Source organism: Homo sapiens, chromosome 1 (genome assembly GCF_000001405.40).
Source record: "Homo sapiens chromosome 1, GRCh38.p14 Primary Assembly".
NCBI classification, from domain to species: domain Eukaryota; kingdom Metazoa; phylum Chordata; class Mammalia; order Primates; family Hominidae; genus Homo; species Homo sapiens.
Window position 1 is genome coordinate 102,233,946 of NC_000001.11, and position 19,222 is coordinate 102,253,167.

The window sequence follows — 19,222 nt, forward strand, 5'->3', positions numbered from 1 at the left end:
GGGTCTGGAGTTGGTGGGTTCTTGCTCTTGCTGAGTTCAAGAATGGAGCGGCAGACCCTCGTAGTGAGTGTTACAGTTCTTAAAGATGGTGTGTCCGGAATTTGTTCCTTCTGATGTTCGGACATGTTCAGTTTTTTCCTTCTGGTGGGTTCATGGTCTCACTGGCTTCAGGGGTGAAACTTCAGACCTTCGCGGTGAGTGTTACAGCTCTTAATGCGGTGCGTCTGGAGTTGTTCATTCCTTCCATCCGCAGTTATACATTCCTCCTGGTGGGTTTGAGGTCTCACTGGCCTCAGGAGTGAAGCTGCAGCCCTTTGCACTGAGTGATACAGCTCATAAAGGCAGGGCAGACCAAAACAGCAGCAGCAAGACTTATTGCAAAGAGCCAAAGAACAAAACTTCCACACTGTGGAAAGCGACCCTAGCAGGTTGGTGTTGGTGACTCGGGCAGCCTCCTTTTATTCCTTTATCTGGCCCCACCCACATCCTGCTGATTGGTCCATTTTACAGACAGCTGATTGGTCCATTTTACAGATAGCTGATTGGTCCATTTTGACAGAGCGCTGATTGGTGTGTTTACAATTCCTGAGCTAGACACAGAGTGCTGATTGGTGCATTTACAATCCTCTAGCTAGACATAAAAGTTCTCTAAGTCCCCACCAGATTAGCTAGAAAGGGAGTGCTGATTGGTGCATCCACAAACCTCCAGCTAGACACAGAGTGAGGATTGGTGCATTTACAATCCTCTAGCTTGACATAAAAGTTCTCCAAGTCCCCACTGGACTCAGGAGCCCAGCTGGCTTCGCCTAGTTGATCCCATGCCAGGGCCATGGGAGGAGCTGCCCATCAGTCCTGCGCCAGGCGTCTGCATTCCTCAGCCCTTGGGTGATCAATGGGACCGGGCGCCCTGGAGCAGAGGGCAGCGCCCATCGGGGAGGCTCGGGCTGTGCCAGAGCCCACCAGTGGTGGGGGCGCTCAGGCATGGCGGGCTGCAGGTCCTGAGCCCTGCCCCGCAGGGAGGCGGCTGAGGCCTGATGAGAATTCGAGTGTGGCGCGGGCGGGCTGGCAGTGCTGGGGGACCCAGCACCCTCCGCAGCTGCTGGCACCGGTGCTAAGCCCCTCACTGCCCGGGGCCAGCGGTGCTGGCCAGCCACTCCGAATGCAGGGCCCACCCGGCCTGCGTACAGCCCCGGTTCCTGCCCACGCCTCTCCCTCCACACCTCCCGGCAAGCAGAAGGAGCCGGCTCTGGCCTCAGCCAACCCAGAGAGGGGCTCCCACAATGCAGCTATGGGCTGAAGGGCTCCTCAAGCGTGGCAAGGGTGGACGCCAAGGCCAAGGAGGCGCCAAGAGCGAGCAAGGCCTGCTAGCACGTTGTCACCTCTCAATATGATTGTGTCCATTTATTTTCTTTCTCTCTCTACTCTCACTGTTTCTTGGAGTTTAAAAACAATGACATAGCATTTTCCTGCCCTTGAAACACAAGTAATATTGTAATTTGAGTTTTTTCCAGCCAGTTTTACAGATTAGTCTTAATTTCCTCATTATATGGTGTACAATGTAGTGACTCATCAGGTTTTGGCTTGTATTCTACAATCATAATATGATTATTACTGGGTGTTCTGTAAACTGCTATCTATGCTATCATCTGCTGTTAATGTCAGCTATCACATCCAATCTTTCAGTCCTGAGGCAAGTTAAAAGGAGCAAATCATTAAGCCTTTCTTTGCTTTAGTTTCTTTCTACTTTAAGTTGCTTAATAATATCACAAGGATATTTGCGGGACTCAAATAAACTGTATGCTCTTAACTAAAAATTGTACAAATAAAGTTACCTCTACTATTCCTATCATTAATAATACCATCTGGGGTTCTATCCCCTTGTCTACTTAATGTCTCTGGGCGTTTTATTATTTTATGCACTATTGTAAAGCCAGGTGGGATATGCAGACTATCCACATATTTGATTTTATTATCCTGGTTTATTATGACAACTGCTTATTATATGTATTCTCAGAGATTTCTTTTTTAACATTTTGGGTTCTCTCTGTAATAATAAGGAATAGCCATAAATATATTTTTTCTCACATTGTATTTTTTTTAGCTGAGTAGATAATAGGGAATATCATTTTCAGACTAAAGTCTCTTCCTCTTTCTCTGACTTTTCATAAAGTAGAACAGCAGATCCCAGCTCCAACATGCTGAGGGATAACCCACTTTTCTCTCAGTAACAAGGTCTTACCAAGACCCTGATCCACAGTAAGAGGCAGTTCTTGATCTACGGGAAATATGTACAATTGGAGATTAACTTTGGCGAATACTTTTCTTTTAAGAGGCAAATTTTTATGGCCAGCCTGTTACAGGGCAAATAACTCTAATTAGGTCAGCTCCATATCTAAAACATATAATGCTCTCTCAAATCTTTGTGGCATGAGTAAATTATCAAAACCTAGTAAAAAAAAAAGCAGTTAAGAAATGAAAGACAAATTTGGAGAGGATTCTTTAAGTTATAGACAATTTAGTCTGGCAGTAACAATGATAATGGTTGAAGAACATCCTAGCCAAAATGTAGCATAAATATCCCTGGTGCAAGGCACATGGTGGTTATTTAATTATTTCACTCATGAATAAAAAAGAAAAGAATCAATATTAAAGAGTTATTTAGAAATAAAGGTAGTTGATGAAATAGAAAACATTTCTTTGTAATTTTGCAAAAGTAGTAGAGAAGGATCACATAGAAATCTAAAAGCATTAGCTTGCTTTATGCCCAGTCTCTCAAGCATATGGTTTCAAAAATTCATTTCTAATCTAGATGAGAACAACTTCTCTATCCATCTCTTCTACTTAACTTCTCGGGAAAAGTGGATGATGAAGTAAAATAAAATGTACAGACTAATATTCTTCAGGTAATTCTCAGTGGGAAGCACCTACATCATATCAATTTTGTCATCTGTTGGGAGAGGAAGAGATCTCTTGTTAAATTAAACACAGAAATGTTCTGATGAACAATTAGAATTAGTAATTAAATTTAGTACTATTGCTGGATGTAGTTCAATACAAAATATCAATTTAATTTTTATAAATAAGCAAAATATTTTAAAAGTGTGAAAAGATAACATTTGCTATAGAATAAAAAATTAAATTTCTAGGATTAAATCTAATGAAAGATGTGCAAGATCTTGTTACTAAAAGCCAATTCATGTATGTGTGTACACACACACGTGTGTGTATATATTCATATTTACATTAAAGAAGACCTAAAATACAGAAATAACTTACAGTCATGAATTTGAATAAAAATATTATAATTATGTCAGTTTCCCCCAATTGATCTATAACACAAAATCATTGAAACTCCAAAAAGTTGTACATCTGTGTATAAATCAGTATCTTATTATAGAAAATTATATGAAACCAAATGCCCTAGTAAATTTAGGGGAGTCTTGAAGAAGAAGGAGTTAACTAAAAGAATATATATTTTCAGCTATCTATGTATATACATACATTTGTGTATATATGTACACATTACCATATATACACATATAACATATATGTGTATATATACACATTACCATATTATATATAAAATATGTATATATTGCACACATACAAGGAACAATATATCTATAACATATGGGCATGTATTGTTGTGTATATATGTATATAATAAATAAAGAAATTAAGAAACTGTGATACTACTCCAAGGATAGATATATTTATCAATGACAGAGTAGAGAGTACAGAAAAAGATCCATACATGTATGATCGTTTGATTTATAAAAAGGGTAACGACACAACACAATTGATAAAAATTGTCTCTTTACCAAACGTACTAAGTCAATTGGATATTAAAATATAGAATATATGTACACACACACACACACACACACACACACACACACACACACAGTGACCTGAACTTCAAACCTTACACAAAAGTCAATTCCAGTATTTCAGGCGTAAACGTAAAAGGTAAACCAATAAAGCTTTTAGAAGAAAAAACAAGACAACTTTCTTAAGTTGCAGTAGGCAAAAATTCCTAAATTTCTCTTACCTCGCCCCCCACAACCCCCGGCTATACGATGTAAAATCACAAGTAATTATAAAGAAAAAAAAATGGAGTATATCAGAATTAATAATGTGTTTCCATGAAAAGATCTAATTAGATCAGTGAAAAGGCTAAATACATAGTGTGGATGAGGTATTTGCAGTACACACTCCTAACAAAATCTTTGAATATAGAATATATGTCATAAAAATTAATAAACATTTAATTGATAAATAGAAAAAGCAGGCAAAAGATTAAGCAGGCACTTAACAAAGTAATATATCAAGATGCCCATTATATCTTTGAAAATGTACTGCACTTTATTAATTAGAAAAGAAATACAAATTCAAACCACAATGTGACACTGCTACATAGCCACCAGAATGCTTGCAATTAAAAAGAAAAAAAAGCAAATAGGTAAGAAGGTGGAGCAACCAGCACTATTTTCCCCAGCTGGTGAGTGTTTACATTGATAATATCTCTCTGGAAAACTGGTAGTCTGAGTCTCTGTTAAAGCTATCAAATCTACTTCTGGCTATGTATCTTACAGCAATGCCTATAAGGGTTGACCAAAATACATACACGGAAATGCTTATTTCCCCAAACTGGAGGCACGTGCAACAGATAAATTTCAAGCCTAATATTAAACTAAAGAAGCTAGACACGAAAGAGTTCACATTTTGTAATTCCATGTACATAAATTTCATATATCTATGGTGTGAGAAATAAGGATAAAGGTTATCCTTGGCAGGATACTTACTGCACAAAACCCAAGGGCCCTTCATGAATGCTGATTATGTTCTGTTTCTTTAAGGTGCACTGGTTGCACAGGGATATTTACTTTGGAAAAGCCATGGACCTATTTAAGTATGGTCTGTGCATTTTTTCATTTTGTGTATGTTTGCTAAAATTAAATATATTTAGAAACAGGCATTGAAGTGTTTATTCTGACATAAGAAAAGAAAACTTGAACTTTTAGTGTAAGCCTTTATGTAGGTCAGCATTTCCCAATGTATTTGAGATTATGATAATAGGAAATAAACTGACTAGAACTGAAAAGGAAATAAACTGACTCTAGTTGACAGATTTATTGTTATGTGTTTTAGCAGAAAGTGTAGCTAGTCAAATGTCATGATTTTGATCCATTTTAAAATAGACTGTAGACTCTGATCCTTTTGCATAAAACTAAATAATAAAAAGGGGAAGACTCATATTGATCACTTAATAATCTTTATGCACTTAAAAGTTTGTAGGATTAGACTTAATTGCTTAATGTAATGATCTTTTCTAAATCTTTATCATACTTGATTTTTCTGCAGCTATGTATTATAGCACTCTTATTTTCTTTTCACTTTTCTGACTGTTATTCTTAAGACTCTTCTTGCTATGTTTCTGCCAGTCACATCTTAAGTTCAGTATAAGAATTCCCAGGGGTTTGCCTTCAGCCGATATTCTTTTTCACTCTGAACGATCTCACTAGACAATTTTACACCTTACCATAGCTTCATACTTATACAAAATGCAGCAATTTGCATTGATTTCTCTGAATATTCCTTTACACTTGAGACTTGTATTTGTCACTGCCTGTTAAGCAACCTTATTCTCCCAGCAACTAAATAAAACATTTTCAAAGTTGAATTTATTCCGTGCCTGCTTACTGTGTCAAAATGTTTTTGATGCTAAACTCTCCTTTATCATCCATGTCAATTGCCAAATCATATCAGCTCTTTCATATAAGCTCTCTTCTTTTTTATTCCCAATTCTACTGTCCTAGTTTAGGTTCTCATTACCTTAATTCAATTCAAATCATCTATCATCTATTAATTATTTACTGTGTGGTAAGAGCTGTGCAAGGCACTAAAGACACTGAGATGAAAAAAATAGTACTTGAACTTTTGTACAGTCTCTTGTGGGAGAGTACAAAAGTAATTATAAAAATGTTTTCAGTATAATTCAAAAGTTATGGGTGCTAAGTGAGCACATACTAGGGACACCAATTTCATAATATAGGGTTTTATCTCACACTCAGAACTAATGACATTTCTAGCCAGATGATTTGTTTTATGCAGGGGATCTGTTTAATATACATAGCACATTACTTCAGCATCCCTGACCCCTATTCACTAGATGTCAGGAGCACCCCACCCCTAGATGTGGAAACCACAAATGTTCCCAGATGTTATCACACGTCTCCTAGGATGAGAGGAGAGAATTGCCCCACATACGAAACACTGCCCTAGCATAACACCTATTTTCTCCTATAAACCTCAGGCCTTTCCAACATATCCTTTTAAATATTCATAACATTCTTTCTCTGAATTCCACTAAAGATGATCCATTACCTAATAAATAAAGAAAAAAAAACCTCTGAGCATGACTGTCTGTTCAACCCCAACATACCTTTCTGGTCCCAACATCAAGTACATCCTTTTCTTCAGTCAATGATTGTTTTAGTTCTAGATTTTTATTTTTTTTCTAAGCATGCTGCCAACTCTCCACAGGTCGTATGCCTATCCACTGAGATGCTATGCCACGGTGACACTGAACAAGTTATTTTACTTTTCAATTGCTCATATCTTCACCTTTACTATAGAAATCAGAATAATAACAATTTTATAAGAGGTTGTAAAGATCAAAAGAAATAATCCAAGTAAAGATAGTAATAAATATCAATAAATTATAATTTACATTCTGATCCCTGATTTATCAACTGTTGATATTATCCTTCGTGGCCTCTCTCATGTGATGCCTTCTTTACCTACCCCCTGCCACTGAAATTAGTCATTTATTTTTCCATATAAATGATGATAACACACCTTGTTTTTAATTATTTCATTTCATTTCAGTTTCTTATTATGCATATTCCCTATTATTCCACAAGGTCCTCTTAGGTCATATTTTGTTAACCTTTGCCATATCCTCGTGCCAATCTAAGTGTACTACACAGAATAAATACTGTAATATTTACTAAAATTAGTGCTGTGAGAAACCATACTATTGAAAAAGCATGTTTTGAAGTACAATAGTGTATTATACTTATTGGAAACAACTGATTATTCTTGACAGTTTCGCAAGGCTGATATTTATTTTACTAATTTACAGGTGCATAATCTAAACCTTAGTGAAAAATTATAAGCTTAAGTCCATATTCCTAATAATTTCAAACCTATCTGTGCTCTGTTTCCAAAATGTGTGATTTTTAGTTACATTGTGCTGTTGCTCAATATAAAATTTGTATGTTGATGTTTGATCCATTTAGAACAACATTGTTCAATAAAATATCATGTGAACCATATATTTAAAATGTGAAACTTTCTAGTAGCCACATTTAAAAGGTAGTAAAACAGGTAAAGTTATTTTTAATAATATATTTTATTCAACCCAATATATATAAAATGTTATTTAACATATAATCTATAATATTATGAGTAAGATATTTATACCCTTCTTTAAAATACATTATTTTCCATTGCAATTAAGGACAATGTTATGACATATTTTTACCAATTAATTAAAAATAGAATTTATTGTATGGCACTTCTGAATAATAATTTAATGGTAGCTGATGGAGCTGACATGAGGCATTTCATTCTTTATCCTTACCTTCTATATGTAACTGAAAGTGAAAAAACAATCACAAACAGAAACAAAAACAACAGAGAGCTCTTCCATAGCATCTCTGATGCGTTGCACAAATGCAAAACCTAATTATCTTAGATGTCTGTGTATATGATAAAACAAAAACATTTAATTTTGTAACTGCTATTGGAGATTGTTGGTTTGATTGTTGTTACTGCAGCGAAACCCAAACATTTAGTGAAAAGGAAGGTGCCATATGAACAGAGAGACTCAATCACTCGTGCCTTCATTTGTCTCATAAGGAAACAAGACAAGTGAAGCATAAGTGAAGAAAGTTCTAGGCAGAGGAAACTGCAGTTAAAAAGACCTGAGAGTGGGAGGGAATTGAAAGTAGAATGTACTGAAGTGTTCTAGTTACTGATGCCATGTAATGAACTTCCCCAAATCTTAGTGGTATAAAAAATAACAATCACTTATTTTGTTCACAGATCTTTAATTTGGACAACTCTTAGTGGGGATGACTCATCTCTGCTTTATGAGGAATTAATTGGAATGGCTAATTAAGGGCTAGAGCACTTATGTTCAAGATGACTCACTCACATATGAGAACTCAGTTAGGACCATGGGCCATGTGTCAGTTCCTCAATATGTGGGCTTTTTCATGCACTATTTCCGTTTCCTTGCAGTTTGATGGCCTGGTTTTAAGAGTGAATGTTTTAAGAAAATTAGGAAAAAATTGTATTGCTTTTAATGACTAAACTTGGAGATCACATAGCAACATTTCTGCTCTAGTCATACTTCTATCCAGATTTTAAGGAAAGAAAACAGATTTCACTTTTTGATTGGGAGAAATGTCAAGTCACCTTATGAAAAAATAAATGAAATTAGAATTTTTTAAAACTTCAAGTTCTGGGACACATGTGCTGAATGTGCAGGTTTGTTACATAGGTATACACGTGCCATGGTGGTTTGCTGCACTCATCAACCCACCATCTAGGTTTTAAGCCCCACATGCATTAGGTGTTTGTCCTGATGCTATCCCTCTCCTTGCCCCCGACCCCCCGATAGGCCCTGGTGTGTGATGTTCCTCTCCCTGTGTCCATGTGTTCTCGTTGTTCAACTCCCACTTATGAGTGAGAACATGCAGTGTTTGGTTTTCTGTTCCTGTGCTGAAGCCAGTATTGGAAATACAATTTGCAACATGAGAAAGAAAAATAATATATGCATGATGAGAACTGAATGCAACAATTATTTGTTAAGTATTTGCCATGAGTTAGATACCTTTTTAGGCACTAGTAATATAGAAGTAAACAGAAGAGACAAAAATAACTTTCCTTCATTATATATTTTTTATCCTATTGAAATGAGTGGAGAGAAGAGTGATAAGATACAAAGTTAGATAAAGACAGAGCATTGTAGACCATGTTAAGAAATTTAGATTTTGTTGTCAGTATTATAGCATTTTTTTTTACAGGGATGTGATGTGGCCTTACTTATATTTTCCAAGTATCACTCTGGCTGCCCTGTGAGGAGAAAACAGAAGGGTTGGGGGAGGGGTGTGGAAATACCAAATGCAGTTAGGAGAAGAATGCAGCATTCGAAGCAAAAGGTGATGAGGTGATGGTGGCTGGGTCCAAGGTGGTACAAGTGGATATGGCAAGAAGATTCAAGATATATTTTGATGGCAGATGCAAAATTTAAATTTTTAGATTGGATGTCTCCTCTGAAAGTTAGACAATAATTAAGGGCGATTTCTAGCTACCATTATACTTGGAGAAAGTAGGCAATAAACAAGAAATTTAAGTAAATCTGTAGTATTAAGTGGTATCAAGATACTACAACTTGAAATTGAGTAGTTAGGGAAGGACTCACTGAGAAGGTGAATAGAATAAAGATCAAGAGATGTGGAAGCGAGTGATGCTGTTACATGAGGGAAGACATACAAAAAAGGAGATACATCATTTGCAAATGCTGTGAAGCAAAACAATGTCTGGACTATTCTAGGAAGAGTAAGGAAACAGGTTGGCAGGACCTAGGGACAAGGAGGATGTTTGATCATGAAAGGCCACAATGTTCAGGGCCATATCATACAGTGGGTCTTACAGGTTCATGGAAGGACTTTATCTTTTATTTTGAATGAAATAGAAGGTTCTTAATTGGGAGGTGATACAAAGATAATTTATGTTTAATAAGATCACTTAATTTCCTGTAATAAGAATTGAATAAGGTGGGGGAAAGGGTGGTAGTACAGAGACCAGTGAAGAGGCTGTTACTGTATTTTAGATAATTTTGCAAATTAATTACTTGGATGCTAGCTTGAGTGGAGGAGATGGTAAGAGGTGGATACACACCTTAGATTGTTTGGGGATATGAAAGAGAGGGGAGTCAGGTATCACCCACATGGGTTTCCTATTTAGATCTACCTTAGGGAGGTTTACACACAATTTGGTGTTTTAAATTTCCTGCTTTTTATTTGTTCTGAAAATATTATGTAGCTATTTGCTGTGGGTGTATCACCCAGATATCTTTTTAGAAAGGAGGAGCACATTCTGCCAGGCACTGCTGAGTTCCTCTTCAGGAATTGTCCTCAGCTAAAGGGACCTGGCTCACTGAGGGTTGTGCCTCTTTCCCAAGGACAGCCTGAATCCAGTTTCTGGGCAACATGGCACCACAGAAGCCCAAATGGCTCACCTTGACTTGGAACAATCCTGAAGGGCCATCCTAACTCCAGACATGTGATCTCTGTCATAATCTTTTATAGTAATGGAGATCTGTTGTAGCTATATGACTCTTCAATTTCTCTTTCTGCCTGATGCTGCTGTCTGCTTCTTAAAAGTGTTTATTCTGAGAGCACTCTCCAATAAATCTCCTGTTAATAGACCAATCTCTGTCTTACAGTGTATTTCCTAGGGAGCCTCCTTATGATGTAAAGTTTGTGGGTTCTGTTAAGTTGACAGCTGTATGGTGTTCTCTGTTATTTTCTGTTTTTCAAGAGGAAATACCTGAATAGTCGGAATGGTTGCTGCCATAGTCTCACTGAATGTGAGAGACACAGCATGTTTGTATGCTTATAGGAATAATTCAGTAGAGACAGAAAAATTGACTCAGGAGACTAACGGGTAGGATTTAGCAAAACAGTGAAACAGTTTCCCCTCACAACCATTTCACTTTTAGGAATTTGGACAATTTATCAATGTTAATAGGAAAAGAGGCAGAGTAAATAAGTTGGATGTAGGTGAGTAGATAAATACGGTGGTAGAAGCTCATGAAAATTCTCTTATGCTTACTTCTATTTTCTCAGTAAACTCAGGAGCAAAATTACCTCTAGACAGCAATTGTTGGAAGAATATTTGGAAATTTGAAGAAAAAAAGATGGAAAATAATGATAAGTGTAGGAGAATAAATGGATAAAGCAAATACAGTATCATTACTAGGCCACACAACTTTAAAATGTGTAGTTCTGTTTTGCTCCAGTCATATTTAATTTTATAGGTGCTAATGTGCAATAAGTATAGAGTCAGAATTAAATATAATTGTGATTTTGTCATGTAAGTGTAGGAAGCAAGAGAATAAATGAAGAGGTGAATGTATATGAAATAAAATGATGATATACACTAGTGAATTTAAGCTGAGCAAAAAAGGCAAGTGAGTATAAGAGGAAAGTGAATGGACATGAAAAAGGTAGTAAGATCAAATATTAGTGGGGTTCTAAATTACTTTCAGAGTCATAGTATTAAACAAAGTGAGCTGGAAAGATTGGAAATGGTGGTCATGGGTATTTTGAAATTGGGGTAATAGAATGGATACCATTATTGTAGTTACAAAGACTAGGGTGTAACCAAAGAAGTGTTTGAGAAGGTATGGAGAATGTGACCTTTTGAAATCGATTCTCTTAACACTTTTCAAGAATATAGTATGTTGTTATTAACTATAGTCACCATGTTACCATGTTGTACAATATATCTCTTGTATGTATTCCTCCTAACTGAAGTTTTGTTTCTTTTGACCAATGTCCCCCTCAAAGGTCCCCATCCAGCCCCTAGGAATCACTATTCTACTGTCTACTTCTGTAAAGTTTAGTTTGACTATAGCTTCTAGAGAGTTTGAGTTTTTTAGATTCCTTGTCTAAGTAAGATAATACAGTATTTTCCTTTCTGTGCCTGGCTCAACATGATGCATTTCCAGTTCATCCATGTTGTCTCAAATGGAAGAATCTGCTTCTCTTTCAAAGGCTGCATTGTTTTTGATTGTGTATATAGTACATTTTCCTTATCCATTCACCTTTTGATGGATACTTAGATTGATTTCATATCTTGGCTACTGTAAATAATGTTGCATTGAACATGGGAGTACAGGTACCTCTTTAAAATACTGATTTCATTACCTTTGAATATATACCCAGTAATTGGATAGCTGGGTCATATGGTAGTTCTACTTTTAAGTTTTTGAGGAAACGTCATACTGGTTTTTCATAAGGTTTTTCTTAAGCTGGCCCAACTACATTTCCACAAACAGTATACAAGTTCCCTTTTCTCTACGTTCTTGCCAACACTTGCTATCTTTCATCATTTTGATGATCGTTATTCTAACAGGTGTGTGGTAATATTGTGGATAGGTGTGAGGTCCTATCTCATTGTATACAGATGTGAGGTAGTATCTCATTGTAATTTAACTTTGCATTTCCCTGATGATTAGCGATGGTAAGCATGTTTTCATATGCCTGTTTACTATTTGTATGCCTTCTTTCGAGAAATATCCACCCAAGGCTTTTGCCCAATTTTAATCAGTTTGGTTATTTTTTTTGCTATTGAATTGAGTTCCTTATTTACTCTGGATATTAACACTTTATCAAATATATGGTTTGCTAATACTTTTTACTGTTTCATAGGTTGTCTAGGAAGTGAGTTTTTGATGTGTGACTCAAAACTGGGTGATTTATATGGGAAATAGTAAAAGTGATTTGAAAATAGTAATAAGGACAAGAAGAAAAAATGACTATCTGGACCTATTAGATCCACTGATTTGAGAATCCAAACACCAACCATATAAGAGAACTTATAGAGATAGCATATGAGATCTCACAGGAGATTCAGGCTTAGTTAAAAGGAGGAGAAGAGAATGATCAGAGAAGGGGTTGAGGACATAAGTAAGCGTATTGATGACATACTGTATGTTCCAAAGGGCAAGGGAAAAGTTTTTAAGTGTTGGAAAGCGGTGGAAATTATGCTTAAAAGAGGCATTATATACAGCCTTAATGAAACTAAAGAGATAAGAGATAATCTGTGACATCCAGGTTTCTTTTGGGAAATGACAAAAGTTGGGAGAAAAGCTTGATGAGATATTCTCACAGAAGGTTTTTTGGAGAAGTGGTCATTATCAGACAAAGATAGAGAGGTAGAGGCAGATAGGCCATTAAAAGAGTGATCTTATTCTGAGTACAAGAAACTCCTGGCCATTTAATACTACATGATGATGGTCTCAACGTGTGCCCAGTAATGATTTGAGGCGTGATCATGCACAACACACCGAGTTTCTCTGTTCACTACTACTAGGCATTGATGTCTCGGGTACCTGGTTTTCTTCAAGAATGGATGTTTTCTCTCAATCCATCTTTCATGATTCCTTCTTTTTGAAATTATGTTTATTTAATTTCTCTACATTTCTATTGATTGTTTTCCTTTTGATTTTTAGCGACTTTTCATAAGTTTTAATTTTTTTTAAGAGACAGAATCTCACTGTATTGCATAGGCTGGAAGGTAATGGCAAGCTCATAGCTCATTGCAGCCTTCAACTCCTGGGCTCAAGGGATCCTCCCACCTCAGACTCCCAAGTAGTTGGGACTACAGGTGTGCACCACCACACCTAGCTATTTTTTTTTTTAATTTTTATTTTGCAGTGGCAGAGTCTTGCTATGTTGCCCAGGCTGGTCTCCAATTCCTGGACTCAAATGATTCTCTCACCTCAGCCTCTCAAAGTGCAGGGATTATGGGTGTAAGCCACTGTACCCAACTTATAACTTTTTGAATAAAAATTATTTGTAAGCTATATGTGTTGTAAATCTCTTCCTTCAATTTATGAATAGCATTATTTCTACAGAAAATTGGAAGTTCTCAAAATTGTACTATAATTAAATTTATTAATATGTTTATCTATGGTTTAGATTTTCTATGCTTTATTTTAAAAATGCTTTATCTTTTACTTTCATAATTATGTTCTATATTTTTCTCTAAAAGTTTCAAGGAATTACCTTTCACATTTAACCCCTTAAGCTATATGGAATTGATTTTTGTGTGTGATATGAAGTAATGATCCAATTTAACTTTTCTGTCACATGAAAAACAGTTTTTTAAGTATCAGCTTTTGCATATTCTTTCTTACCCATTGTTTTTTCAATGTCACTTGCATAGCTAACACGTCAGATTTGTGAATATGTGAAAATCTGTTTCTGGAATTTCTACTCTGCTCTATCAGTCTATATTCCTACTCAGCACAAATATCATGCAAATATTTTACAAGAACTTATAATACATTCTCTTATTTAGTTGCACAAGTCCATGCAACTTATTCTTCTTCAGGATTGCTTAGCTATTCTTGTAATTTTCCGTCTGTATAAACTTCTGAATCACCTTGTCAAAATTTATGATAAAAGCTTTTCATAAATTCAGTAGAAGAGCATTGATTTTATAGATTATTTTCTGGGGGCAGAAATAACATATTTAAGGTACTAAATCTTCCTCTGCATGAACATAATGTGTCTTCATTTACTGAAAGTTTCTCTTGTTTATTTGATTATTGTATTATAGCTTTCAACATAAAGTCCTCTGTACACATATCCATGTCTCTCTCTGTCTCTGTATGTGTGTATTGTGTTGACTTGTTTGTATTTTATCTTATGTTAGGAAATTTATTTTATTAGTTCTTATCAGTAACATATAGCTCATTAACTTGCTGAGGTACTGGTATAAGATATAGACTCTATAGTTATAGATATTTATATTTCAAACATAAAATATAACCCTTTATTCATTAAACAATGTTCTTTACAAGAATATGTCCATTTTAACAAAAAGATTAAATGAAAAATAAATATACAATTGCTTTAAAAATTTGCTTTTAGTCACTCTGTAACTTCAGGCAAATCAGGTGTCCATCAAGTGCTTCAGTTTCCTCATCTTTAACTGGGAATAAAGCTAAGCACCACTAATAGAATTAATGTGAGAATTGCATGCGCTATGATAGGTTCATAACTTAGATGGCAGACAGCAATGCTAAGTGCTCCCTCCTTTTATTTTTATTGCGAGAGCAACACTGACACTTTCTCTTGTCTTCATTATAATTTAATATGCATCTTACATCTAGCAGTCAGGGATTGTTTTAAAAAGGCGGCACTTTGAAACTTTAATCCCTGAGATAAATTTTTAACATTACAACACAAAGTCACCCTATCTACTTTTGGTTTTCCAAATACCCTAAAACTCGAGCCATATTTTGTGAAGTTACTCAGTCTGTAACCAAAGCAATTTTCCCCTAACTTTTGTGATGCTGAAGCCTCAAAAATATGTGATAATTTTTGCAGATATAAAAATTATGGTAGAGCCTGGATGCGGTGGCTCATGCCTGTAATCCCAGCTACTCGGGAGGCTGAGGCAGGAGAATTGCCTGAACCTGCGAGGCTAGGATTGCAGTGAGCCAAGATTGTGCCTCTGCACTCCAGCCTGGGCAACAGAACGAGACTCTATCTCAAAAAAAAATTATGGTTAGAAAATTGTTATCTTTCCACTATAGACAGATTTGCAAATTTTTACCCCCAGAAACATGGTGAATATGTGATATGTTTTTAATTCTCCTGCACACAGTCTTTAAAAGTAAACTACTTTACTCTCCTAAATGCTTTGTCTCTGTCTTTTTTTTCGTAGTATGTTTTCCTTGTTCCATAATAATAAGCTTATCTATGTAATATTTTCCCTTAGTAGCAGAAAAACACCACTTAGGAAGAATATTTTAATAATGAATATTTGAGGACATTTTTGGAAAAAAATGTGGAAGAGTTACACAACTTGACACAAATATTCTCACTGCGTGGGACCAAAAATTTAATCAAGATTGTGAAGAGAGGCCATCTGCATTAAGAAAATATGTTACCATTTTCCTCTTCACATTCTTCCTCTTTCCTGTTGTCTTTTCTGTGCTCTACACATTGACCTAGTAGACAGACATGAGAATGCCTACAAGGCAAACTCCTGGGTGTGTTCCCACTGTCCACATCAATCACATTTAAAGGGTAATAGATCTCTTGTTCTATTGAACACACACTCTTCCTCCAATATATCATAGCCTATCTCATCACAAATTAAAATGAAGTCAAACAAACCTTGGGAAATCTGAAATTTTATATTTGGGGATTGATTCTTTCATTTTTTCCCAGATATGTAAATTTTCCACTCTTTACTTAGAGCTCCTGCCCCAAAAGATTATTTATATTTGTTTGTATTGTGCAATCAATTTCTAAGGTGCTAGAACTAAAAGTTTCACATGAGTTTCTGTTCTAAAAGATTGAATAGTGACTCCTTTAGAGTGTTAGGTACTTGTACACTCTTTTTTATGTACATACCTCAGTTAACCTTGGTAATGACAGTGACATGATGTTTGACCTTCGATAAAGATGTGGACTTTCGTGGGGTGAATTATTCTGGAGCTCCAAGATAACCACACACCTCCAGTGCTTGAAACTATCAAAATTTCAAAGAACGGGAAGTAAGTTTACATGAAGTAGCCTCAATAGACATGATTGCTTGATTGATTCACCTGTGATAATGGGATTTACTCTGAAAGTAAAACTAATGATGATAGTAATAATTTCTAATAAGATGACTTACACCAGTGAGTTCCAGGAAAAAGTGGCACTGATCCCTGGGAGTATTTTGGAAATGTGGTACAACAGGGATTGCCACAATCATTGAGGAATGTTACTAATGAAGGAACAAGACTGTTCCATATCCTACAATGCTAAGGACAGTCCTCACAAAGACATATTTCCTGCATCAGTGGTGCTTTTAAGATGATAGCTGTAGATATACATAGGTGGAAAACCCTTTTGAAATTATTTGAATGTATAAGCTAATTCCATTTTACATGTAAGCAAATAGTATTCTTGCAAAGTTTAATAGGCAGTAAATTTTCCAGGAATGCATCTGTTATGTAAATCAAGGAAGGATTGTAGTGTATTCTTCAAAGCTTTACTAAGTGTTGTTTAATATTTCAGAAAATTTTATCCCTGGCTACAATTCTGCCCACAATATTTGAGGAGATAATACAATTCAATCAGTCTGTTTTGTTACTGTTGTATCAAGAAGATTCTAAAAGTGATCCCCAGTATGAATGTAGGCATCTGACTATAAAGTTTTTGACAAGGCTGAGCATTTCCACATAGAAGTACAATACATTTGAAATTATTTTCATTATATTCCTCTTTCATATTAAGAATATGTTAAAGTTCTCTAAAAAGGATGTGTGACAGAGTATCATGTAAGAAGATAGATAGCTCCGTAACTTCAATATGGGACAAGCACAAAATCTGTCAATAAAGTAAGCAAAGGTTAATCTTATATTTTAAGTATTTCTAAAATGACAAAACACTAAATAAGTAGTTTTGACAACTTGATCATATGTTAGAATCACTCTCTCCAGGTACCCTCAAGGCCAATTAAATCAGAAATCTGGGGTGACATTCAGGCATCAGATTATTAAACCCTGTTTAAATGATTGAAATTCTGCAGGCAAATCTCTGCCAAGTTAACGTATAGAAAAAGAGCACTCACTGGGGAACACTCTAGAGCAATATGTAATTATATTTCACAATTACTACCTTTTCCTCTCCTTCACACGATAGTCTTCCTACTCTCATATATTGATTAGTTTTCTCACTTATACACACACACACAGACATATATATTATACAATTCAGGGGTGTCCAATCTTTTGGCTTCCCTGAGCCACATTGGAATAAGAAGAGTTGTCTTGGGCCACACATAAAATACACTAACACTAATGATAGCTTCTGAGCTAAAAACAAAAAAACAAGAACAAACAAAATGCAAAAAAAAACTCATGTTTAAGAAAGTTCACAAATTTGTTTTGGGCTGCATTCAAAGCCATCCTGGGCCACAGGTGGCCCGCAGGCCGTGGGCTGGACAAGCTTCTTATATATATAACAAATGCTAACACCAGAGTTCAGTAAATATTTTCCTATAAAGTGTCAGTAAAGTTTTTGAGATATTTTTAGATCATAAGTTCTCCATTACAACTATTCAACTGAGCAGTTGTAGCATGAAAGTAGCTCTAGAGAATATTTAAATAAATGGGTTTGGTGGTATTCAAAAGCTTTACTTATACAATCAGGCAGGCATTGGGCTGAATTCGGCCTGACGCAGAAATTTACTAACCACTCCTACACAAACACACACACATACATACTTAAATTACAAATTATTTTCAGTAACATTCACAGATTCTAAGATTCAACTTAAGTAATAGTAAGAATGAACATACCCTATAAACATTACTAAGATCAAAATACATTTAAATTTTTTGATATCTGCCTTTCTGAAATTAAACATGTTGGACTATTTCCAGTTATTCACTTTTTTTGACTATTAGCATTCTAACATGAATTTTTATTTTCTCCCTAGGTTCTGGACACTTGCATAAAACCAATTAATTCTGTGTAATTGAAAAACCAAGTCCTATATAACATCTATATTTACAATATTCCTTATGTTCCAATGAACTATACATGCAAATAAAAAAATCTATTGGCTGGGCACAATGGCTCACACCTGTAATCCCAGCACTTTGGGAGGCCGAAGCGGGCAGATCACTTGAGGTCAGAAGTTCAAGACTAGATTGGCCAAAGTGGTGAAACCCCATCTCTACTGAAAATACAAAAATTTGGCGGGCGTGGTGGCAGGCACTGTAATCCAAGCTACTTGGGAGTCTGAGGCAGGAGAATCGCTTATACCAAGGAGGCAGAAGTTGCAGTGAGCTGAGATCACGTCACTGCACTCCAGCCTGGGTGACAGAGCCAGATTCCGTCTTGGGAAAAAAAATATATATGTATGTATATATTAACTATTTTCATTTCTAGTTTCACATGTAAGGAGTTTGGAAATTACCACTCTGTCCTAAAAACAAGTGAAAAGCTGAACACACTGAAAAATCAACTCTTTTTGTTTCCATAAGAAAGGTGAGGACACAGGGCAAACAGCCATCTCCAAGATTAGAGATACAGACAGGCGAATACAGGGAGCTACAGCTGAGTGAAGTGGAGACTCAGCAGCAGGAAGTGCCACAGGAGCCAGTGTCAGAATAGAAAAACTCGAATCTGGCCAGAGGCTCAGAGTAGACAAGTCTTTGCTTTAAAAGCTCCAAGGCAATCCAGTCATAAGGGGGTTCCCACCATATTGTGAGATTTTCCTCCAGGAATTTGATGAGGATCCCACAGTAAATATTGAAGAAAAATCTCATTATACTTCCTGCAGTGGGAGGGGAAAAGGAACCATTTTGATATATGCCAGACCAGAGCACTCTTCTTGTTAACAA